The sequence below is a fragment of the Homo sapiens genome, chromosome 10 (assembly GCF_000001405.40).
Source record: "Homo sapiens chromosome 10, GRCh38.p14 Primary Assembly".
Taxonomy (NCBI): Eukaryota; Metazoa; Chordata; class Mammalia; order Primates; family Hominidae; genus Homo; species Homo sapiens.
Window position 1 is genome coordinate 31562075 of NC_000010.11, and position 25107 is coordinate 31587181.

A 25107-nucleotide genomic window follows, 5' to 3' on the forward strand; every position below is an offset into this window, starting at 1 on the left:
GGCATGGTGGCATCACCTGTAGTCTCAGCTACTCAAGAGGCTGAGGCAGGAGGATTGCTTGTGTCCAGGCTGCAGTGAGCTATGATTGCACCACTGTACTCCAGCCTGGACAACAGAGTGAAATCCTGCCTCAAAAAAATAAAAATAAAAATAAGAACAGAAATGAGAGGAGAAAATAAAACAGTACCTTGAAGAATACCCACACTGAACGTGTGGTTGAAGGAAGGAGGATTCAGCAAAGAAAACTGACTTATTAGGGAAGAGAAAGAAGATCCAAGTTAATCCAATGTCATAAAAGCAAAGAGAGAGTGTGTTTCAAAAGTTATGGCCAATAATTTTAAATGTTTCAGACGAGTCAAGTAAGATGACATTCAGCAGTCTCTTACCAAGTATCTACTATGTGATAGGCATAGTGCTAGGTGGACACAAGATGAATAGTATACCTGATCTTTGTACTCAAAATTATGGGAGAAATGAAAATAAACAATTACAATCCAGTGCGATTAAGGCTATAACAGACATGAAAAAAGTACTCTATGAGCAGAGAGAAGGAGATTTTCTTCCTGTGTGCAGATCTTTCTTTCTAATGAACTCTCCTCACTTGTTTATCTCATGCTTTGTTTTCGTTTTTAGAATTCAGAATAAACATATATCTTTCATCGAAATGTTCCCCTTTGAACACAGATTGTCAGCTCTTTCTCCCTCTTTATCTGTACCTTTTTTAGTACATATACTTTAAGTTCTGGGATACATGTGCAGAACGTGCAGATTTGTTACGTCGGTATACACGTGCCATGGTGGTTTGCTGCACCCATCAACCTGTCACCTACATTAGGTATTTCTCCTAAGCTATCCCTCCCCTAGTCCCCCATCCCCCAACAGGCTCCGGGGTGTAATGTTCCCCTCACCGTGTCCGTGTGTTCTCATTGTTCAACTCCCATTTATGAGTGAGAACATGCGGTGTTTGGTTTTCTGTTCCTGTGTTAGTTTGCTGAGAATGATGGTTTCCAGCTTCATCCATGTCCCTGCAAAGGACATGAACTCCTTTCTTTTAAGGCTGCATAGTATTCCATGGTGTATATGTGCCACATTTTCTTTATGCAGTCTATCATTGATGGGCATTTGGATTGGTTCCAAGTCTTTGCTATTGTGAATAGTGCCTCAGTAAACATGTGTGCGTGTGTCTTTATAGCAGAATGATTTGTAATCCTTTGGGTATATACCCAGTAATGGGATTGCTGGGCCAAATGGTATTTTCTGGTTCTACATCCTTGAGGAATCACCACACCATCTTCCACAATGGTTGAACTAATTTACATTCCCACCAACAGTGTAAAAGAAGTGTTCCTATTTCTGCACATCCTCCCAGCATCTGTTGTTTCCTGACTTTTTAATGACTTCCATTCTAACTGGTGTAAGATGGTATCTCATTGTGGTTTTGTTTTGCATTTCTCTAATGACCAGTGATAATGAGCTTTTTTTCATATGTTTGTTGGCAGCATGAATGTCTTCTTTTGAGAAGTATCTGTTCATATCCTTTGCCCACTTTTTGATGGGGTTGTTTGTTTTGTTCTTGTAAATTTGTTGAAGTTCCTTGTAGATTCTAAGTATTAGCCCTTTGTTAGATGGATAGACTGCAAAATTTTTCTCCCATTCTGTAGGTTGCCTGTTCACTCTGATGATAGTTTCTTTTGCTGAGCAGAAGCTCTTTAGTTTAATTAGATCCCATTTGTCAATTTTGGCTTTTGTTGCTGTTGCTTTTAGTGTTTTAGTCATGAAGTCTTTGTCCATGCCTATGTCCTGAATGATATTGCCTAGGTTTTTTCTAGGGTTTTTATGGTTTTAGGTTTTACGTTTAAGTCTTTAATCCATCTTGAGTTAATTTTTGTATAAGGTTTAAGGAAGGGGTCTAGTTTCAGTTTTCTGCATATGGCTAGCCAGTCTTCCCAACATCATTTATTAAATAGGGAATCCTTTCCCCATTGCTTGTTTTTGTCAGGTTTGTCAAAGATCAGATGGTTGTACATGTGTGGCATTATTTCTGAGGCCTCTGTTCTGGTCTACTGGTCTATATATCTGGTTTGGTACCACTACCATTCTGTTTTGGTTACTGTAGCCTTGTAATATAGTTTGAAGTCAGGTAGAGTGATGCCTTCAGCTGTGTTCTTTTTGCTTAGGATTGTCTTGGCTATATGGGCTCTTTTTTGGTTCCATATGAAATTTAATGTAGTTTTTTTCTAATTCTGTGAAGAAAGTCAATGGTAGCTTGATGGGGATAGTATTGAATCTTTAAATTCCTTTGGGCAGTATGTCCATTTTCACTATAATGATTCTTCCTATCCATGAGCATGGAATGTTTTTCCATTTGTTTGTGTCCTCTCTTATTTCCTTGAGAAGTGGTCTGTAGTTCTCCTTGAAGAGGTCCTTCATATCCCTTGTAAGTTGTATTCCTAGGTATTTTATTCTTTTTGTAGCAGTTGTGAATGGGAGTTCACTCATGATTTGGCTCTCTGTCTATTATTGGTGTATAGAAGTGCTTGTGATTTTTGCACATTGATTTTGTATCCTGAGATTTTGCTGAAGTTGTTTATCAGCTTAAGGAGATTTTGGGCTGAGACAATGGGGTTTTCTAAATGTATAATCATGTCACCTGCTAACAGAAACAATCTGACTTCCTCTCTTCCTATTTGAATACTCTTTATTTCTTTCTCTTGCCTGTTTGCCCTGGCCAGAACTTCCAATACTATGTTAAATAGGAGTGCTGAGAGAGGGCATCCTTGTTCTGTGCCTGTTTTCGAAAGGAATGCTTCCAGCTTTTGCCCATTCAGTAAGATATTAGCTGTGGGTTTGTCATAAATAGCTCTTATTATTTTGACATATGTTCCATCAATACTTAGTTTATGGAGAGTTTTTAGCATGAAGGAGTGTTGAATTTTATTGAAGGCCTTTTCTGCATCTATTGAGATAATGATGTGGTTTTTGCCATTGGTTCTGTTTATGTGATGGATTATGTTTATTGATTTGCATATGTTGAACCAGCCTTGCATCCCAGGGATGAAGCTGACTTGATCATGGTGGATAAGTTTTTGGTGTGCTGCTGGATTTGGTTTGCCAGTATTTTATTGAGGATTTTTGCATCAATGTTCATCAGGAATATTGGCCTGAAATTTTCTTTTTTTGTTGTGTCTCTACCAGGTTGTGGTATCAGGATGATGCTGGTCTCATAAAATGAGTTAGCGAGGAGTCCCTCTTTTTCTATTGTTTGGAATAGTTTCAGAAGGAATGGTGCCAGCTCCTCTTTGTACCTCTGGTAGAATTCAGCTGTGAATCCATCTGTTCCTGGGCTTTTTTTTTTTTATTGGAAGGCTATTAACTACTGCCTCAATTTCAGAACTTGTTATTGGTCTATTCAGGGATTTGACTTCTTCCTGGTTTAGTCTTGGGAGGGCGTATGTGTCCAGGAATTTATCCATTTCTTCTCGATTTTCTAGTTTATTTGCGTAGAGGTGTTTATACTATTCTCTGATGGTAGTTTCTATTTTTATGGGATCAATGGTGATATCCGCTTTATCATTTTTTATTGTGTCTATTTGATTTCTTCTTTCTTTTCTTCTTTATTAGTCTGGCTAGTGGTCTATCTAATTTGTTAATATTTTCAAAAAATAAGTTCCTGGATTCATTGATTTTTTGAAGGGCTTTTCATGTCTCTATCTCCTTCAGTGCTGCTCTGATCTTAGTTATTTCTTGTCTTCTGCTAGCTTTCGAATTTGTTTGCTCTTGCTTCTCTAGTTCTTTTAATTGTGATCTTAGGGTGTCAACTTTAGATCTTTCTCACTTTCTCCTGTGGGCATTTAGTATTATTAATTTCCCTCTGAATACTGCTTTAGCTATGTCCCAGAGATTCTGGTACATTGTGTCTTTGTTCTCATTGGTTTCAAAGAACTTATTTATTTCTGCCTTAATTTTGTTACTTACCCAGTAGTCATTCAGGAACAGGTTGTTCAGCTTCCATGTAGTTGTGAGGTTTTGAGTGAGTTTCTGAATCCTGAGTTCTAATTTAATTGCACTGTGGTCTGAGAGACTGTTTGTTACGATTTCCATTCTTTTGTGTTTGCTGAGGAGTGTTTTACTTCCAACTATGTGGTTGATTTTAGAATACGTGCAATGTGGTGCTCAGAAGAATGTATATCCAAGAATGATTTGGGGTGGAGAGTTCTGTAGCTGTCTATTAGGTCCGCTTGGTCCAGAGCTGAGTTCAAGTCCTGAATATCCTTGTAAATTTTCTGTCTCATTGATTGGTCTAATATTGACAATGGGGTGTTAAAGTCTCCCATTATTATTGTGTGGGAGTCTAAGTCTCTTTGTAGTTCTCTAAGAACTTGCTTTATGAATCTGGGTGCTCCTGTATTGGGTGGATATATATTTAGGATAGTTAGCTCTTCTTGTTGAATTGATCCCTTTACCATTATGTAATGTCCTTCTTTGTGTTTTTTGATCTTTGTTGGTTTAACGTCTGTTTTATCAGAGACTAGGACTGCAACCCCTACTTTTTTTTTTTTTTTTTTTTTTTTTTGCTTTTCATTTTCTTGGTAAATATTCCTCCATCCCTTTATTTTGAGCCTATGTGTGTCTTTGCACATGTGATGGGTCTCCAGAACACAGCACACCACTGGGTCTTAACTCCATCCAATTTGCCAGTCTGTGTCTTTTAATTGGGGCATTTAGTCCATTTACATTTAAGGTTAATATTGTTATGTGTGAATTTGATCCTGTCATTATGATGCTAGCTGGTTATTTTGCCCATTAGCTGATGCAGTTTCTTCATATCATTAATGGTCTTTACAATTTGATATGTTTTTGCAATGGCTGGTACCAGTTGTTCCTTTCCATATTTAGTGCTTCCTTCAGGAGCTCTTATAAGGCAAGCCTGGTGGTGACAAAATCTCTCAGCATTTGCTTGTCTATAAAGGATTTTTATTTCTCTTTCGGCTATGAAGCTTAGTTTGGCTGGATACGAAATTCTGGGTTGAAAATTATTTTCTTTAAGAATGTTGAATATTGGCCCCCACTTTCTTCTGGCTTGTAGGGTTTCTGCAGAGTGATCCACTGTTAGTCTGATGGGCTTCCCTTTTTGGGTAACCAGACCTTTCTCTCTGGCTGCCTTAACATTTTTTCCTTCATTTCAACCTTGGTGAATCTGATAATTATGTGTCTTAGGGTTGCTCTTCTCCAGGATTATCTTTATGGTGTTCTCTGTATTTCCTGAATTTGAATATTGGCATGTCTTGGTAGGCTGGGGAAGTTCTCCTGGATAATATCCTGAAGAGTGTTTTCCAACTCGGTTCCATTCTCCCCATCACTTTCAGGTACACCAATCAAACATAGGTTTGGTCTTTTCACAGAGTCCCATATTTCTTGGAGGCTTTGTTCATTCTTTTTTCTCTAATCTTGTCTTCACACTTTATTTCATTAAGTTGATCTTCAATCTTTGATATCCTTTCTTCCACTTGATCTATTTGGCTATTGATACTTGTGTATGCTTCACGAAGTTCATGCTGTGTTTTTCAGCTGCATCATGTCATTCAGGTTCTTCTATAAACTGGTTATTCTAGTTAGCAATTCCTCTAACCTTTTTTCAAGGTTCTTAGCTTCTTTGCATTGGGTTAGCACATGCTCCTTTAGCTCAGAGGAGTTTGTTATTATCCACCTTCTGATGCCTACTTCTGTCAATTCATCAAACTCATTCTCCATCCAGTTTTTGTCCCTTGCTGGCAAGGAGTTGTGATCCTTTGGAGGAGAAGAGGCATTCTGGATTTCGGAATTTTCAGCCTTTTTGCTCTGGTTTTTCCTCATCTTCATGGATTTATCTACCTTTGGTCTTTTATGTTGGTGACCTTCAAATGGGGTTTTTGAGTGGATATCCTTTTTGTTGATGTTGATGCTATTCCTTTCTGTTTATTAGTTTTCCTTCTAATGGTCAGGCCCCTCTGCTGCAGGTCTGCTGGAGTTTGCTGAGGATCCACACCAGACCCTGTTTGCCTGGTTATCACCAGCAGAGGCTGCAGAACAGCAAAGATTGCTGCCTGTTTCTTAAATAACATTTACATACCTGTTCTCTGAGTCTGGGCAAAATAGTATGGACTTGTTTCTCCTTTCCATTCTCCCTTCCCTCAACTTAGTTCAGAATCTCATCACATCCACCTGGGCTTGTCATAGCTTCCACCCACCAGATGCCAGCCGGAGCTCTCCTGTATGAGGTGTCTGTTGACCCCTGCAGGGAGGTATCTCCCAGTCAGGAGGTCACTTGAGCAGGCAGTCTGTCCCTTAGCAGAGCTCGAGCACTGTGCTGGAAGATCTGCTGCTCTCTTCAGATTTGAGGCCTGTTGTATTCAAAAAAATTTTGAGTATCTGGTATGAGCGTGCATGGCAGATCTTTAAATAACATTTACATACCTGTTCTCTGAGTCTGGGCAAAATAGTATGGACTTGTTTCTCCTTTCCATTCTCCCTTCCCTCAACTTAGTTCAGAATCTCATCACATCCACCTGGGCTTGTCATAGCTTCCATATTTTAGTGCTGATCATAACATTCCCAGCTCAAACCCTCATTCATCTTAATACAACCCTATTCAAGGCACTATGACTTCATGGTGTAGACATTCAATAAATAAATGTTGAAATGAAAGAATGTTCAACATAAAATTAAACAGAGGTAAATCTTCCCCCAAAACAGTAATAATGCATTGGATTGTGTATGCTTATGTACATATCATGTCTGTATGCATGCTTATAAATTAATAAAATGAATGACAGCAATTATACAAGGGACAAAGGGAGAAATTATGATTACTTTGTTATAATAAGGTACTCACCCTAGCCATGAAGTGGTATAGTGTTATTTGAAATAGCGCTTGAGTTAGTTGTAAGTGTGCCTTGCAAACTCTACACCAACCACTAAAAAAAAGTTTAAAAAATGTATAACTAATATGCCAAGAAAGGAAAGAAAATAGAATCACATAAAATGCTCAATTAAAACTAAAAACAGCATAAAAATAGTGAAAGACAAAAAGAGAAACAAAAAGCAAGGGAGACAAATAGAAAAGAGTAGCCAATATGATCAATATTAATACAACTATATTAATAATCACTTCGAATATCAATATTCTGAATTAGAAGACAGAGATTGTCTGAATGGATCCAAAAACAAGACTCAACACTATGTCATCTATAAGAAACAACTTTATATATAAAGGTACATATAAATTAATAGTTAATGGATGAAGAAAAATATACTATGTTAATACTAATCAAAAGAAAGTAAGAGCAGACTTTGAAGCAAGGGAAGTTATCAGAGACAAGGGCATTACAAAATAATAAAGGGGGCTGGGCGAGGTGGCTCACTTCTGTAATGCCAGCACTTTGGGAGGCTGAGGCAGGTGGATCACGAGGTCAGGTGTTCGAGACCAGCCTGGACAACATAGTGAAACCCCCATCTATACTAAAAATACAAAAAATTAGCCGGGCATGGTGGTGGGCGCCTATAATTCCAGCTACTCGGGAGGCTGAGGCAGGAGAATCTCTTGAACCTGGGAGTCAGAGGTTTCAGTGAGCTGAGATCGTGCCACTGCACTCCAGCCCAGGCAACAGTGCAAGACTCCATCTCAAAATAATAATAATAGGGTCAATTCTTCAAGAACAACTGGAGAATTGCCTAACAATGAGGCAAAAACTGATAGGACTGCAAGAAGAAATAGATGAGTCCACTATTATAGTCGGAGACTTTATCCCTCTATCAGCAATGCACAGATCCAGCAGGCAGAACAATCAGTGAGGACATAGTTGAACCCAAAAATACAATCAGTTAATTGGACATAATTGACATGTGTAGATGACTTCATCAAACAAAAGCAGAATACACATTTTTCTAAAGATCACATGGAGAATTCACCATGATAGGCCATATTTTGGGCCATAAAACACATCTTAACAATGGAAAAAAAGAGAAATCATATAATGTCTGCTCTCGGGCCACAGTGGAATTAAACTAGAAATCAATAATAGAAAGATAACTGGAAAATCCAAAATTACATGGATATTAAATAACACACTTCTAAATAATGTATGGGTGGCTGGGCACAGTGGCTCAGGCCTGTAACCTCAGCACTTTGGGAATTCAAGGTGGGAGAATAGCTTGAGCCCAAAAATTTGAGATTAGCCTGGCAAGATGGTGAGACACCATTGCTACAAAAAAAAAAAAAAAAAAAATTAGCCAGCCTGGTGGTATGTACCTGTAGTCCCAGCTACTTTGGAGGCTGAGGTGGGAGGAGTGCTTGAGCTCAGGAGTTTAAGGCTAAAATGAGCTATGATCATGCCACTGCCTTCCAGCCTGGGTGACACAGAGAAACCCTGTGTCTATTTTATAAATGAAATAAAATAAATGAATAAACAAATATCACATGGGTCAAAGAATAAATCTCAAGAGAAATATTAAAATATTATGAACTAAATGAAAATGAAAATAGAACTTATCAAAATGTGTGAGATGCAGTGAAAACAGTGCTTAGAGGAAAATTTATAGCATAGGGTTGAATGCATTTATTAGACAAGAAGGAAATATTTAAAATCAATCATTTAAGCTTCCACCTTAGGAAACCAAAAGAGGAGTGAATTAAATACAATGTAAGCAGAAAAAATAAAATAAAAATTAGAGCAGAAATCCATGAAATTGAAAACAGGAAATGAATAGAGAAAATCAGTAACACCAAAACCTCGTTCTTTGAAAACGCCAATAAAATTGATAAGCCTCTAGACAGGCCAAGAGAAAAAGGAAAGAGGATATAAATTACTAATAATCAGAAATGAAAAAGGAGATATCACTACAGCTCCCATGTACAAAAATAAATGAAAGTATACCATAAACAATACTATCCCCCAAATTTAATTACCTAGATGAAATGAATCTATTTCTTGAAAGACATAGTGTACCAAAACTAACACTAACTAACAGAAATTCTGAATAAGCCTATATCTATTGAGGTGATTGAATTAATAATTAATAACATTCCAAAACAGAAAGCACCAGGCCCAAATGGCTTCACTGGTGAATTCTACCAAAATTTTCAGGAAGAAATTATACCAATTTTCTACAGTAATTTTCAGAAGACAGTAACAGAAGGAACATTTCTTAATTCACCTTATGAGGTCAGCATTACCTTAAAACCCAAAACAGAAGACAGCATTACAAGAAAAGAAAAATACAGATTAATAGCTCTCATGAACATAGATGCAAAAATCCTCAACAAAATATTAGCAAACTGAACCCAAGAATACATAAAGAAATTATGCAGCACAACGAAGACAGATGTAGCCCAGGTACGCAAGGCTGGTTTAACATTTGAAAATCAATTAATGTAATCCATCACATCAACAGAATAAAGAGGAAAAATCCCATGATCATATCAATAGATGCAGAAAAAGCATTTGCAAAATCCGTCACCCATTCATGATAAAAACTATTAGTAAACTAGGAATAGAGGAGAACTTCTTCAACTTGATAAAAAATATCTACAAAAAAAAACAAATCCTGCAGTTAACATAATACTTACTGGTGGGAAGCCAGAAACTTTCCCTCAAAGATCAGTGATAAGACAAGGATGTCCAGATGTCTCATCACACAACATTTTAAACATTGTACTGAAGTCCTAGCTAATACAATAAGTCAAGAAAAAGAAATAAAAGATATGCTGAATGGGAAAGAAGAAATAAAACTGTATGTGTTTGCAGATGGCATGATTGTTCATGTAGAAAATTTAAAAGAAATGACAAGAAAACTCCTGGAACTACTAAGCAATGATAGCAAGGTTGCCGGATACAAAGCTAATATACAAAAGTAAATATTTTTAAAATATACCAACAAAGAAGATTCAGAATTTGAAATTAAAAACATAATACTAATTACATTGACACTCCAAATGAAATACTTAAGTATAAATCTAACAAAATATGTACAAGATATCTATGAGGAAAACTATAAAACTCTAATGGAAGAATACAAAAAAGAACTAAATAAACGGAGATACATTCCATATTCAAATACAGGAAGATTCAATATTGTCAAGATGCCAGCTCTTCCCAACTTTATCTATAGAGTTAGCACAATCTCAATCAAAATCCCAGCAACTTATTTTGTAGATATTGACAAACTGATTCTAAAGTTTGTACGGAGAGGCAAAAGCTCAGAATAGCCAACACAATATTGAAGGAGAAGAACAAAGTTGGAGGACTGACTACTTGACTTAAAGACTTACTATAAAAGCTACAGTGATCCAGACAGTGTGGTGAAAAGTAAACAAATAAAACAATGGAACAGAATAGAGAGCCCAGAGATAGACTCACATCAATGTATTCAACTGACCTTTGACAAAGAAGCAAAGTCAATATAGTGAAGCAAAGATAGTCTTTTCAACAAACAGTGTTGCAACAACTGGCCATCCATATGCAAAAATAAATAAATAGATGAATTTAGACACAGACCTTACATTCTTCACAAGTATTAACTCAAAATGGATCATTGACTTCAATGTAAAATGCAAAACTACAAAAGCTGAAGAAGATAACATAGGAGAAGATCTAGATGACATTGAGTTTGGCAATGGCTTTTTAGATACAACACCAAAGGCATGATTCATTAAAAAAAGAATAAATAAGCTGAATTTCATTAAAAATAGAAATTTCCTTGCTGCAAGACACACTGTCAAAAGAATGAAAAGACAAGCTACAGACTGTGAGAAAATATTTGCCAAAGACCCACCTGATAAAGGGCTGTTATCCAAAATACATAAAGAACCCTTAAACCTCAACAATAAGAAAATGACCTGGTTTAAAAATGAGTGAAAGACCTCAACAGACACCTCACCAAAGATACACGATGGCAAGTAAACATATGAAAAGATGCTCCACATTATATGTCACTGGGAAAATGCAAATTAAAACAACAATAAGATGCCACTACACACCTATTAGAAGGTACAAAATGCAGAACACTAACAACACCAAATATAAGCGAGGATGTGAAGCAACAGGCATTCTCATTCACTGTTGGTGGGAATGCAAAATGGTATAGCCAATCTGGAAAACAGTTTGCAGTTTCTTACAAAATTAGACATACTTTACCATGAAATACAGGAATTGCACTGCTTGGTATTCCCTCAAAGGAGCTGAGAACATGTCTATGAAAAACCTGCACACAATATAGTAACTTTTTTCATCACTTCCAAACCTTGAGGGCAACCAAGATGTCTTTCAGTGACTGGATAAATAAACTTTAGCCTGTATAAGCAATGTAATATTATTCAGTGCAAAAAAGAAAGGAGCAATCAAGACATGAAAAGACATAGAGGAAACTTAAAAACATATTACTAAGTAAAAGAAGCCAATCTGAAAAGGCTACATACTATAGGATTTAAACTATATAACATTCTAGAAAAAGCAAAACAGTGGAGACAGTAAAAAGAGCAGTGGTTGCCAGGGGTAGGGTAGGGAAATACTATAATAGTGGATACATGTCATCATACATTAGTCCAAGCCCATAGAATGTACAATACCAGAGTAAACTCTAGTGTAAACTATGAACTTTGAGTGATAATGATGTGTCAATGTAGGCTCATTAATTGTAAGAAACATACCCCACTCTGGTGGGGGATGTTGATAGTGAAAGAGACTATGCACATGTAAAGGGCAGGGGTTCCACGGGATGTCTCTATACCTTCTTCTCAATTTTGCAGTAAGCCTAAAACTGCTGTTTAATTTTTAAATTTTCTGTAAACCTAAAACAATCAACAGTGCCATTCGATGAATTACTATAACTAATAAGTGTATCAATATTGCAAGATAAAATATCAACTTACAAAAATTAATAGTGCCATTCTATGACAGCCAACTTTAAAATATAATAGAAAATAAGACACCATTCACAATAGTTACAAGAACTACAATGTACATAGAAATTTATCTCATGAATAATGTAAATAAAAATATTTAAATATTTTTAATTGATACAAAAGAAAATCTAAATAAACGGTGAGGTATACTACATTCATAGATGGATAACTTAACAGTCTAAGGTCAACTATTCCCTAATTAATCTTTAAATTAAATGCAATGCCTAACAAAATTCCGGTTGGATTGCTTCAGTGTTTCAAAGACTACGTAATGAAATGTCTATGAAAAACTATATATATACAAATAGGAAAGTTCATTTTGAAGAAACACAAAGGGTGGGGAAATCTATTCTATTAGATATTGATATAATTCCAAAGTATGGCATTTATGAATTCGCCCACTTGCTAAAATTTATTTTAGCAGTCATTCCCATACATGCACAGAAGTGAAAACTTTGAGTTTTTCAACATGCCTGGTCCCAGCTGAAGCTGAACAAGGTGACACTCTGTTGTCTTGTTTCAGCTCTCAAACTGTAAAACAAGTGTCATGTTTTTCACATTTCTGTGCATTTTGCCAGTGATTTCTCTGTTTAAAATGGCCCCTATGTGTAGTACTGAAGTGTCTGCCTAGTGTTCATAAGTAAGAAAGCAGTGATGTGCCTTATGAAAAAAATACATGTGTAAACTTCATTCAGGCATGAGTTACAGGGCTGTTGGCTGTGAGTTCAATGTTAATGAGTCAACAACTCAGTACATCCAGAGAAAGGAGGAGGAAATTCATCAATCCGTATATGAGACTGCTTTGGCAAGTACCAAAATAACATCTAGAGTGCATGAGGAATTATGCAAAAGGTGGGAAAGCAGCTAACTGTGTGAATTCACGAGAGGATGACCAATCAGAAATTCATAGTGGACAGCATTGTTATGAAGCTGAAAGCCAAATAAATTTACAGTCATGTTACCAAGAGTCAGGGAAATGTTAAACCCTTCTCAGCTGGTGTGGGATGCCTCACAAGTTTCAAAAGGCAAAACAGCATGAAAAATGTGAAACTTGCAGGCGAGGAAAGTTCTACAGATCAGGAGGCTATGGAAGAATTTTTTTAATGCCTGTTAATTGTTGTACAGAAAAAAGGTTATGTGAAAGACGGGCTTTTCAACACTGAAGAGACAGGCTTCTTTGACAAGGATGTTGGCAAACAAACCTGTAACACAAATGATGTCCGAAGCGCCTGGCTTTAAATAATTCAAAGACCGTAACATTAATTATCTTACGGAAATATAGAAATGTATATAGGCATAACTAATTTTATTGCATTTCACTTTACTGTGCTTTGCAGATATTGTACTTTTTTAATACAGCGAAGGTTTGTGGCAACACTGTGTTAAGTGTATTTATGCCATTTTTCCAACAGCATGTGCTTGCTTCATGTCTCTGTGTCACATTTTGGTAACTTTTGCAATATTTCAAATCCTTTCATTGTTATGAAGTCTATTATGGTGATCTATGATCAGTGATCTTTGATGTTACTATTGTGTCACAAACTGTGTCCACATAAGACTGCCAGCTTAATCCAGAAATGTGTGTGTTCCAATTGCCTCACTCATTGGTCATTCCCCCATCTCTTTCCCTCTCCTCAGGCCTCCATATTCCTTAAGACACAAAAATATTGAAATTAGGCCAATTAATAACCCTACGATGGCCTCTAAGTGTTCAAGTGAAAGGAAGAGTCACATCTCTCTCTTTAAATCAAAAGCTAGAAATGATTAAGCTTAGTGAGGAAGGCATGTGGAAAGCCCAGACAGGCCAAAAGCTACACCTCTTGCACCAAATAGCCAAGTTGGGAGGGCAAAGGAAAAGTTCTTGAAGGAAATTAAAAGTGCTACTGCAGTGCACACATGAATGATAAGACAACAGAATAGCTTTATTACTAAGAAAGTTTGAGTGATCTGAATAGCAGACCAAAGCATCCATGGTATTCCCTTAAATCAAAGCCTAATCCAGAGCTTCAATTCTTTGAAGGCTGAGGGAGGCAAGGAAGCTTCAGAAGAAGAGCTGGAAGCTAACAGAGATTGGTTCATGAGGTTTGAGGAAAAAAGCCATCTCCATAACATGAAATTACAAGAAGAAGCAGCAGGTTCTGATGCAGAAGGTGCAACAAGTTATTCAGAAAATCTAGCTAAGAAAATTGCTGAAGGTGGCTACACTAAACAATAGGTTTTCCATGGAGATGAAAACAGCTTTCTATTGGAAGAAAATACCATCAACAAGAAAAGGGAACAACATGAATGAAACCTAACTGAAAGAGGCCAGACTCAACAGCTAATGATTCTATCCATTCTAGAGAAGACAAAACTATAGTGACAGATGACAGACACAAACACACACACGCACATGCATACACACATCCCAAAGGCTGCCCTTTTCTCTCTCCTTATTTCTCCCCACTTCTCTACTGCCCCGGCTTCCTCCAGGGAGTCCCCACCTCCAAGGGAATAGAGATGAGCTCATGAGGAAGGCTTGCATCGTATCCAGCCACCTCACAGAGAAGTCAAGCTTTTGTGGGCTCACCCAAGACTAAATGTCCAACAAGCAAAAGCATTGTTTGACAGGAACATGTCCTGATTAATAAAGAAAGAAAGAAAGAAAGAAAGGAAGAAAGAAAGAAAGAAAGAAAGAAAGAAAGAAAGAAAGAAAGAAAGAAAGAAAGAGAGAGAGAGGGAGGGAGGGAGGGAGGGAGGGAGGGAGAGAGAAAGAAAAAGAGAGAAAGAAAGAAAGAAAGAAAAGGAGGGAGGGAGGGAGGGAGAGAGAGAAAGAGAGAAAGAAAGAAAGAAAAAAAGAAAGAAAGAAAGAAAGAAAGAAAGAAAGAAAGAAAGAAAGAAAGAAAGAAAGAAAGAAAGAAAGAAAGAGAAAAATATTCAGACCACTTCCCTGGCCTTAAGTTGAGAAATGTGTTGGGTTCCCTCAGAACATCTTAAAGGGTTGCAAACTGGGCCAATGGTGTAGAAGGGCCAGTAGAGGGCCTGGAGGTCATCCCACTCTGACTCTGCCTGAGGGGCACAGCACAGCTGAGCATCACCAAGCCCAGGCAAATAATGCAGCTGATGGAGATATGAACTTTCCTTTCTGGTTTCCCACTGCTGTGGTTTGAATGTGCGTGTGCCCAATGCTCTTGTGTCAGAATCTTAATCTCCAATGCAATGGCATTAGAAGGTGCCTCTAATCACCTTTAAGAGGTAATTAGCTCATGATGGCTGCCCAATCATGAGTGGATTAATACTATTATCTTGGGATGAGTTAGTCATCTTGGGAGTGGGTTCCTGATAAGAAGGGTGACTTGTTCTCTCTGTCTTTTGTGCTCATCTCTGCCTTCTGCTTTTCCACCATGGGGTAACCCTCACCAGATGCCGGCACCATGCTCTTGGACTTCCCAGCCTCCAGAACCACTAGTCAAATAAACTTATTTTCTTTACAAATTACCCAGCCAGTGGTATTCTGTTACAGTAGCAGAAAATGGACTAAGACACCCACTTGCTTCCCTCATGTATCCAGCACCCTGGCCCTTTCTCTACACTCACCATATGGAAGCTCTTCTTGGAAAGTCTCATGCAGACTGTTTTATAACAAGCTGCAAAACCTCATGAGAGTAAAGAAAACACTTCTTCTAGGACTTGATCTTTATTAGGGAAATAGGCCTTAACCAAGCCAAAGCCTTTCATTTCACAATTGCAGGAATGTTGTTCAGTCATGGAGGAGGCTTCTTGTGCATCTGAAATAATCAAATAGGTATAACGATGGAGCATACTCCATCTATGCATAAGGAAGTCTCTGCCTGTCTTCTCCAGCCTGAGCCCCACAGACCTGGCCTTAGTCTCAATGTCTTTCCTGGTACCAAAGACCATCATGAAGCTATAAACACCAAGGGCACTGATGATGGTGGCCAGGGTCCAACCCATTAAAATGAGCTGAATGTCTTTATGAGTACACTATTTAAAAGAACCTCTCTGTCTGAATAACCCTGTGGAAACCTCCCAGCCTCCTCAGAAGGCATTAAGTTTTCTAGACCAGAGCATCTGGTTCCAAAAACACATCAGCTTCTGCATGGGGACATACTGGCTTGAATTCTTCCATCCTGGGGTAAACTGGAGGCGCCATAAAATTTTCTTTCCTGGGGTTGTGTTTTAGCGCTCTGCCAGAGAGCTGCAACAGGACTGTCACCATCATCATGCTGATCAGCAGCTCAGCTCAACACAGAGGTTGAGGAAGAAATGGCCTGAATATCACTGCCCAATTTAAGTTGATTAGTGGTTCCTGAGGCCTTCAAGATTAAGCACAGACCCTCACATCATGACTAAGCCTCCTGTTGGCTCCCTGCCAGCCTCCAGCAGGTGAGCCAACTGCAGCCAACTGCTGCAGCATCCAGCCAGCATGCCATGCCCTAAATGCCCTCATCTCTCAGCCTAAAATGCAACCTCCCTTCCTCCAAAACCACGACTCCCTTCTTTCCACTCTGGCCAAAGCCTCCTTATTCCTCAATCACTCTCACCCTCCAGGATGGCTGCTCCATCCTGTGCCCTCTTAGGGTACAACACACCCAAGTGGGGCCTCATCACTGTGTCCTCCTCTGCACTGCCAGCTCTAAACAGTGCCAGGAAGCAGTGTCACAAACCAGCGTCTTTCATCTGTGTCCTCAGATGAAAGGGCCTCTTCATCAAAAAGGTCTTTAAAAATAGGTCAGACTCTCCCTTGCCTACAAAGATGTATGTGCACCCCCTGGAAGGCAGGGAGATGGCTAAGATGACTTGCTAGGGTTGAACTTAACCCATATCAAGCCACAGGGAGCAGGTCATCTGTCATGACCTGGCTTGGAGGAACAAGGAGCCTTTCTCCAATCTTGGGTCTATGAAGACCCAGAAGGGAGAATCCCAAGACACATCCTCTTCCCTCAGATTCTGATTTAGCATCATGGCCCCGGGCACTTCATTGTGTTTGTAAAATGTTCAAGGGTGACATCCCCATCAGCTGGCCCCAGTGCTTGTTTTTGTCAGAGGCTCTGTAAGAGCTCCGGTATCTCTGCCATCAGGCACATGGCAAAAAAGGTCTGCTGGGGATTTTAAATAAAATCACCTGATGAGTCATCAGTCACAGCTTAGGCTTGTGGCAGGGGCTTCACTTGTGCTTCAGAGGGTTTCCAGCTCATTATGGATGACCCGCAATGAAGGAGGACTTTAGAACATCTGTGTTTGGGCCAGCCCTGCCCAGAATCACCATGATGGGGAATCTAAACAAAGCCCTGAAGACTTTCCAGCCAGGATGGGGCTCAGGAGAACTAGCGTCTGCTGATAACACCCCTGTCCAAGCCACTGGAGCTTCAAGACTTACAGTGTCCCCAGCAGTCCCATCCACTAGGATGGCCAAGGCTGAACTGAGGTTTGATGCATGAAACTTAACTGACACCAGAGGTTGGGGCCAGTCGAAGGAGGAAAGAATGAGGAGCCATTGGGATTTGAAACACCAAGGAAGGCATGGAGTCAGCTGTGGCCTTCACAAAACCACTTAACCTCCCCAGATCTTGGTGTCTTTGTCTGTGGTCTCAGTGGGATGGATGACCATATTTATGATGAAATGAGAAAACATATAGGAAAGCAACTATGTAGCATGACAGAAACATAAACTACTTTCTGAGGTCCCTTCCAATCCCAAACCATATGTTTCTGTGAACTCCAGAGGCAGAGGGGCCAGCGACTTGGTGACTTGGCAGAACGGGTGTGGGCTGAGCACAGGCTGGGGCAGTATAGGGTAGGAAAGAGGTGGATGGGGACAAGTAGTCTTCCCAAGGACACAAGCACACAGAGCTGATGTGGTCACATGAATTGCACACCATAGAGAAATTCAAGCACATTGCAAAAATGACATGTGTGGTCCTTAGTATCTGAGACACCTCTTCTGGAAGCTGGGCTCCTTCACTCCTAAAATCTGAATCTATAATGGGCCTTTCCAGTGCAGCAAACTGCAGAAATCCCAGAGACCAACACATTCAGTGGGCCAGAGGTGCAGAGGACTGCAAGGTCACCAGGGTTTCATGAAAGTGCATCTAGGCTCATGGTGCACAAACATGTTGGACACTTGGCTTTGTTCATCTCTCACAGCAAGACAATCACAAAGGGAACCTTCCAGAATCCCTGGCACAGAGGGGAAGCAGCTGTATGGAGAGCTGGAGGGCAGCGAAACCGAGAGAGAGAGCCACTGAGGAGGCCACGGCCATGGTCTGATGGTTGGGAAGAGTGGCACGGCCATCGATCACTCCAGTCAGGCTGTTCTTCTAGGGAGCTGATATGGTTTGGTTGTGTCCCCATCCAAATCTCAACTTGAACTGTAGCTCCCATAATTCCCATGTGTTGTGGGAGAGACCCAGTGGGAGATAATTAAACATGGGGGTGATTCTTGTGGTAGTGAATAAGTCTCAGGAGTTCTGATGTTCTTATAAGGGGTTTCCCTTTTCTTTTGGCTCTCAATCTCTCTTGACTGCTGCCATGTAAGACATCCCTTTGCTCTTCCTTCATCTTTCGCCATGATTGTGAGGCCTCCCCAGCCATGTGGAACCGTGAGTCCATTAAACCTCTTTCCTTTAATGAATTACCCAGTCTTGGGTATGTCTTTATTAGCAGCGTGAGAATGGACTAATTCAGGAGCCCAATCCAGGCAAACGCTGCTGGTCCCGAGGGAGGCCCCAGCATCCACTATAGCTATGCCCCCAGTGAAAAGAAAAGTCAGTGAGCTCTTTCAGGCAGAGATGGGAAAGACTTCTGAGAGGGCTGGAGGCCAAGGGCAGGGTTGAGCAAGGGAAGGAAGTGAGGGTGTGGATGCCTGCCTGTATCCTACAGCCAGCGCTGAGGGCTGCAAGGCCCAGAAAGTTCTTAGCCCACTGGAGAGAGGCTGTCCCTCTTGTTTTTGTTGTTGTTGTTCAGTTTGCTTGTTTCTGAGAAGAGCCTCGCTCTGTCATCCAGGCTGGAGTGCATTGGTGCAATCATAGCTCACTGCAGCCTCAAACTCCTGGGCTCAAAGGATCCTCCCACCTCAGACTCCTGAGTAGCTGGGACTATAAGCATGCCCCACCATGCCTGGCTAATTTTTTTGTTTTTTGTAGACTATGATATCTTAGATGTCTTGCTCTGTTGCCCAGGTTGGAGAGCAGTGGCAAGATCATAGCTCACTGTAACCTCAAACTACTGGGCTCAAGCAGTCCTCCGGTGTCAGCCTCCTGAGTAGCTGGGATTGCAGGTGTGCACCCCCATACCTGGCTAATTTAAAATTTTTTTTTTTTGAGACAGAGTTTCGCTCTTATTGCCCAGGCAGGAGTGCAATGGTGCGATCTCAGCTCACCGCAACCTCTGCCTCCCGGGTTCAAGCAATTCTCCTGCCTCAGCCTCCTGAGTAGCTGGGATTACAGGCATGCACCACCATGCCCAGCTAATTTTTTGTATTTTTAGTAGAGACAGGGTTTCTCCATGTTGGTAAGGCTGGTCTCAAACTCCCTACCTCAGGTGATCCGCCCGCCTCGGCCTCCCAAAGTGCTGGGATTACAGGCGTGAGCCACCGCGCTCAGCCAAAAAATATTTTTGTAGGAATGAGGTCTCACTATGCTGCCCGGATTGCAGTGCAGTAGTTCAATCATAGCTCACTGCAACCTCAAACTTCTGACCTTAAGCAATCTTCTCACCCCAGCCTCCCAAATAGCTGGGACTACAGGCATGCACCACCACGCCTGGCTAATTTTATTTTTTGTAGAGACGGGGTCTTATATTGTTCAGGCAGATCTCAAACTCCTGGTCTCAAATGATCTTCCCGCCTTGGCCTCCGAAAGTGCTGGGATTATAGTTGCGAGTCACCTTGCTGGCCTCTTTTTATTGGTATGTGCCTCTCCCCTTGTAAGTCTTTGAAAGAGTTGACTGAGTGTGTCAGATTTTGACCTTTCACAGAGAGCTTCCTAAGTTTGGTGTATGTCTCAAACCCACCTCTTGAAAATAATTGTGTGGGCGTTTTTGTTGTTGTTGTTCTCTGACTCTTTTTCCAGCCCTGACCCTGAGGGCTGTCTACTTTCACAGAGCCACTGGAGGACAGTGACTAAAAGGGGAACTAGGCTGCCTGGGTTTTTTTTCTTCGTTTCTCTCAAGTCATTTCCCCTCTGGGGTAAGCCCAGAAAGATGAATGGCTGTTGCTGGTTTGTGAGTGGCGACTGCCAGGGACCCTCATCTGTCTGCCTCCCTCACTCAGTTCTTAGATTTATCTGGAAAAAGCTCTTTCCCGTCTGTCCGTGGAATGATTACATAAATGCAGTATTTCATCTACATCAGCTCTTAGAGGCTTGACGTGAGATTGACTTTAATGCTGAAGGAAGAGAACACAACCTAGTTAGGGGACCAGGAACATCTCAAAAATGCCCGTCCATTCCCGTTCCAGCTGCACCACGATGACATTTACACAAAATGGCATAAGATAATCACATTTTTTGAGCACCCTCATTCGCCAGCTGTGTGCCCCGGAATGAAATTAGCTCAATTTAATTACAGATAACAAATGGCTGTGCCCATCTCCTTGGCGTGCAGCAATCCCAAGAGTTCACCATGGGCACCCCTCATCTCCACTCATCCCTGAGAGAGCATTCTGTGGAGCCCAACATCTCCCTCAGGGCCACCCCCAAAAGGGAGGGAGCTGCGATCCAGGCTTCCTCTACTGTTTGTTTATCTTGGCAACTATTGCTAGGGCTGGTGGATTTAAATTGCTGGAGCAGAGCAGGCAGGACAGAAATAAAGAGCCCCAGAGAGCATCTAGGGTTCAGGGCTCCCACCCACTGCCCCAGAGTACACTGGCCTTCCCTGGGTGCAGCCTTCCCTGCTCCTGTCACCTGGTATAACCTATAGCTTCCTTGTACAGCATGACTCAGCCCTGAGAAGCCATGGGACAAACATGCAGCCACTGCCCCAGGGGCTGAGGCAATGCCACTCAGGTCCTCCTGCCTGAGCTGCAGTCACCTTTGGGTCCCCTACCACAAAAGGCAGTGGGTTCCTGGGTGCAGTCATTCCTGGCCCATGGCCTCTCTGTGAGCCCAGGGTCTCTCTGCATTTGCCCAGTAAAATTTATCTAGCACTGTCTCTGAGCCACGCCCTGCATAGGTGCTGGGGATTCAGTAACTAAGTGAACACAGTCGCTGCCCCTCAGGGGGCTCATAATCTGATTATCCAAAAGGACAAGCTAGCTGCTGCTCTTGCCCTAGAACAGTCCAGGGCTATCCTGGAGGATTTTGTTTCCTTTTCTAAATTCAGAAATATCCTGGGATGCAACAGCTTTCTGAGTTGCCGGGCAAAACATCCAACAGCTTTTGGCCTCTGTCTCCACCCTGAAGAGCATGAAGTCAGCATTTCCCCAAATGTGAGCAAAACAGCAGCTAAATATAAGCTCCTGAGTAACAAGGGGGAGGTGGATAGGAATGAGGTGTCCCCTCGCAGGAAGAGCCACTTGCTGATAAAAAGGTGAGATGCAGGGCCTGTGCTGGGGCTCGCTCGCTCCCTGTCCTGGCTCTGCAGGGTGGGTTGCGCTCACCTCCACACCCGGGCTGCAAAAAGCTGAGAACCTTCCCAGTCACCATAGTGACAGAGCCAACAGATCCAAGTGAGGAAGGCAGCTTCCTAAATTGGAGTTATTCCGAGTTAATAACTGATTTGTCTGTGGACAACGACAGCAGTTATTTCACTGAAAGACACGAGATGCCCAGAATCTTTAGAGCTGTAAGAAAATGCCCTTCTCTCTCCAACTGTGTGGGTTATTTTCTCTGTTCGCTGTCGGTAAAATTGCTTGGGCAATGGTCAGCTTACTGCCCCAGATGCAATCGTATGCATGTGGTGGGAAGAGAGGGTTTGTGGGGGATGGGTAGTGGCGGTGCATCCTTCCAGGAGGTGGAAACCTGGGCAGTGGAATATTCCACCCCACGCCAATACCCCAACATCAAAACACGACGCCATGCAAAGAACTAGCCAGCCTGCCCCAGTGTCCTCTCCTTTGCTTGCTGGGAGAGTCGGGGAACAAGCCCCCCGCCCCCGACCTTCCCACACAGCTCCCGCATCCCACAGGTGGGGATGAGCCCTGTGTTGATGTGAAGGAGCAACAGAACACGCCCAGCAGTGGAGGGGAAGCCAGGATGGGGAGCCAGTCAGTTCCAAGCTCATTGCTCAAACCTGCCGTCATTCATTGGCTGGAGGGTTTCAGTTCTCCACCCCTAATCAAAGCAGAGATAAGGCTGGGGCGGGGGGCGGGAATAACACGGTCAGGAAATGCCCACTCCCTCCCTGCCTTGACCAGCTGGGAGGTGCTTAATCTTTATCACCAGAAGCTGCCCGTCTGCTGGGCATGCCCAACAAGCTGAGAAGACCGAGGAGGAAGAGGAGGAGCAGGATGGAGCCTCCCTGACTTCCTGCCGCCACACCCCCAGCTGTGGCCTCCTGCTCCTGCAGACCTCACCCCTGTGAGGCCACTCTGCTCTATCCCTGCCCCCACCTGTGCACAGCCACACACGACAAGCCTGTGTGACCACCCTGTCACCTTCCCCAGGCTGCAAACTGGAAAAAGCAGAGGCCAACCCAAGCTAAAAAGCCCGCTGATGCCGGCCAGTTGCAAGACCGCCAGCGATGGCATTGGGAATGGGGGTCCGAGGCTCCAGACTCTGCCCCAACGTTCCCCAGTGAACTTGGGAGAGGCCTGCAGCAACCTGAGCCTCGGTTTCCCTGCCTGAACAATGGGGAGCTGTGCATTTAGGCATGGATGAAAGGTTCTGTGAGTCAGGGTGGGAGGCGCTGTTCCTTCTGCTCATGGGGCTGTGGCCAGGTGCTGCCTCCCCAAATCCTGGCCCCTTGCTGGGCTGTGATGAGTTGAGTTCATGTCCATTCTCTTCACCGCAATTAATCTTCATTCCAGCCTTCCCCTAGGGCAGGCCTGGCCCATGAAACAGGCACTGTGATTTTATCTGCTGCTTAGGCAGCGAAGAGAAAGATGCCGTCATTGTTTCCCTCTCTGAAGCAGAGGATAAAGCACTTTCTGGGCTGCTAAACCAAGAAAAGTGTTCCTGGAAATCTTGACGTCTTCCTTGCACCCCTCCTTCACCTTTCTCTCCTTCCTTCCAACAGCAAAGGATTGCTGCCAAATGGCCATAGTCATTCACATTATGTCTGGTGACACTCTTTTCAGAAAGTTACCACGTGGCGTCTGCTACTGAAACTGTACATAACTTTTGGTTTAGTGTCCTGCCGAAATAAATAGCTAAGGCTATGTGTACTAGGTTGTTTATGGCAACGTTTTTTACAGTGACAAAAAAGGGGATACCTCATATATTCAATTAGGGAATGGTAAATGAAAATATTATAAAATCTATGCTGTACTGTGAGATATTATGTAGTTATTAAAAAGAACAGGTTAAAGCCAATTAGTTACCAATAAACAGGTTCATTAGGTATTAGAAACAAGCAAAACCTCCAACAGCTTTTGGATGAGTGGCTGAATTGCAGGTGTGCACCACCATGCCTGGTGCAGGGTGTATAGAATGATTTCATTTCTGTAAAAAAAGGAATTTAAGATTGGAGGGAGCAGAAAAGTTTGTGGGTTTTTTTTTTTTTTTTTTGACAGTTTCATTCTTGCCATCCAGGCTGGAGTGCAATAGTGCAATCTCAGCTCACCGCAACCTCTGCCTCCCAGGTTCAAGTGATTCTCCTGCCTCAGCCTCCTGAGTAGCTGGGATTACAGGCATGTGCCACCAGGCCCAGCTATTTTTTTGTATTTTTAGTAGAGACGGGGTTTCTCCATGTTGGTCAGGCTGGTCTCGAACTACCGACCTCAGGTGATCCGCCCATCTCAGCCTCCCAAAGTGTTGGGATTACAGGCGCGAGCCACCGCACCTAGCCAAGTTTGTGTATTTTTGAATGACTCTAAAGAAAGGCAAAGAATACACCTTGAGCTGTATTATTAGTTCCCTCACAGGCCGTAAGATTTTTCCTTATATATCTTCATATTGCTTGATGTTGTAAGCATTTTGAAATGTAAAAAATCACTATAGCAGAAAATTTTAATGTAAAATATGTTTCAGAAGCTGACTGCTATCCCCTTGATCGTCATACTTTCTTGCATAATAGATCTCTCGATATTAGGCTAGGTTTGTGATTACATTTCTTGACCACCTCTGTGGCCAGGTGACTTTGCCGACCAATGTAATGTCGGGGAAGGGTTGTGTATAACATCTGGGATGAGATCCACTAAAGGAAGGGTCGTGCCTCACCTTTTGCTTTCTCCCTCCTGCCTGGGGGACGTGGATGTGATGGCTGGAGTCCCCTAAGCCATGAAATTCAGAACTACCTCCCAGGAATAGCCAAGCAGGTGGCCTGGAGAGCCCGGTTTGGGGATTAACGCAGAGCCATCCTGCCACCTTCATTTAGCCTTTTACAGTAGAAGGAAAGAGATGTTGATCCTGTTTCAGCCGCTGTTACTTGGGATTTCTATTACACACAGCCAAATAAGTCCTACCTAATATAAGAAACAGAAAAATTAGAGTCCTTCCTAGCCATCGAAGAATCTGTGGTGATGCTACACCCAGGGACAGATGGGAACTCATCCAGGAACTTGAAATATTGGAGGGGAAAAAAGATGCGTTCTATAAGCGAAAAGAACGCTTGAAGCCCAGGGCTCCTGAGAACTCCACTACAGGATGCAGAGTGAGAGGGTGGCAGACCCAGCTTTGGATGGTGGACTTCTGACTCCTGGGCTAGTACATGGCCCTGAGCTTTGCTGTCTTCAGTCCCAGCTTGTGGCCCCCTGAAATAGGGAACTGGTGACCTCAGGCCTGCATGGGGCCACGGAGTGACCCGCCTGATAAACAGTTCTGGGCATGAACAGCTGCTGTTCTTGTGGCCGGAACTGGTTCCTTCCCGTGAGTTCTTAGTCTGGCTGACTTCAAGAATAAAGCTGCAGACCCTCGCAGTGAGTGTTACAGTTCTTAAAGATGGTGTGTCCGGAGTTTGTTCCTTCCAATGTTCAGATGTGTCCGGTTTCTTCCTTCTGGCGGGTTCGTGGTCTTGCTGACTTCAGGAGTGAAGCCACAAACCTTCGCAGTGAGTGTTACAGCTCTTAAAGG

At 42.0% G+C, this 25107-nt stretch overlaps 1 annotated feature.

Moving 5' to 3' along the window:
* Positions 22357 to 22857: an enhancer, noted in NCBI's record as "H3K4me1 hESC enhancer chr10:31873359-31873859 (GRCh37/hg19 assembly coordinates)". NCBI's record gives its function as "activates a minimal SCP1, AML or CMV promoter by ChIP-STARR-seq in primed H9 embryonic stem cells {active_cell/tissue: H9 hESC(primed)}" and the evidence as "EXISTENCE:reporter gene assay evidence [ECO:0000049][PMID:30033119]".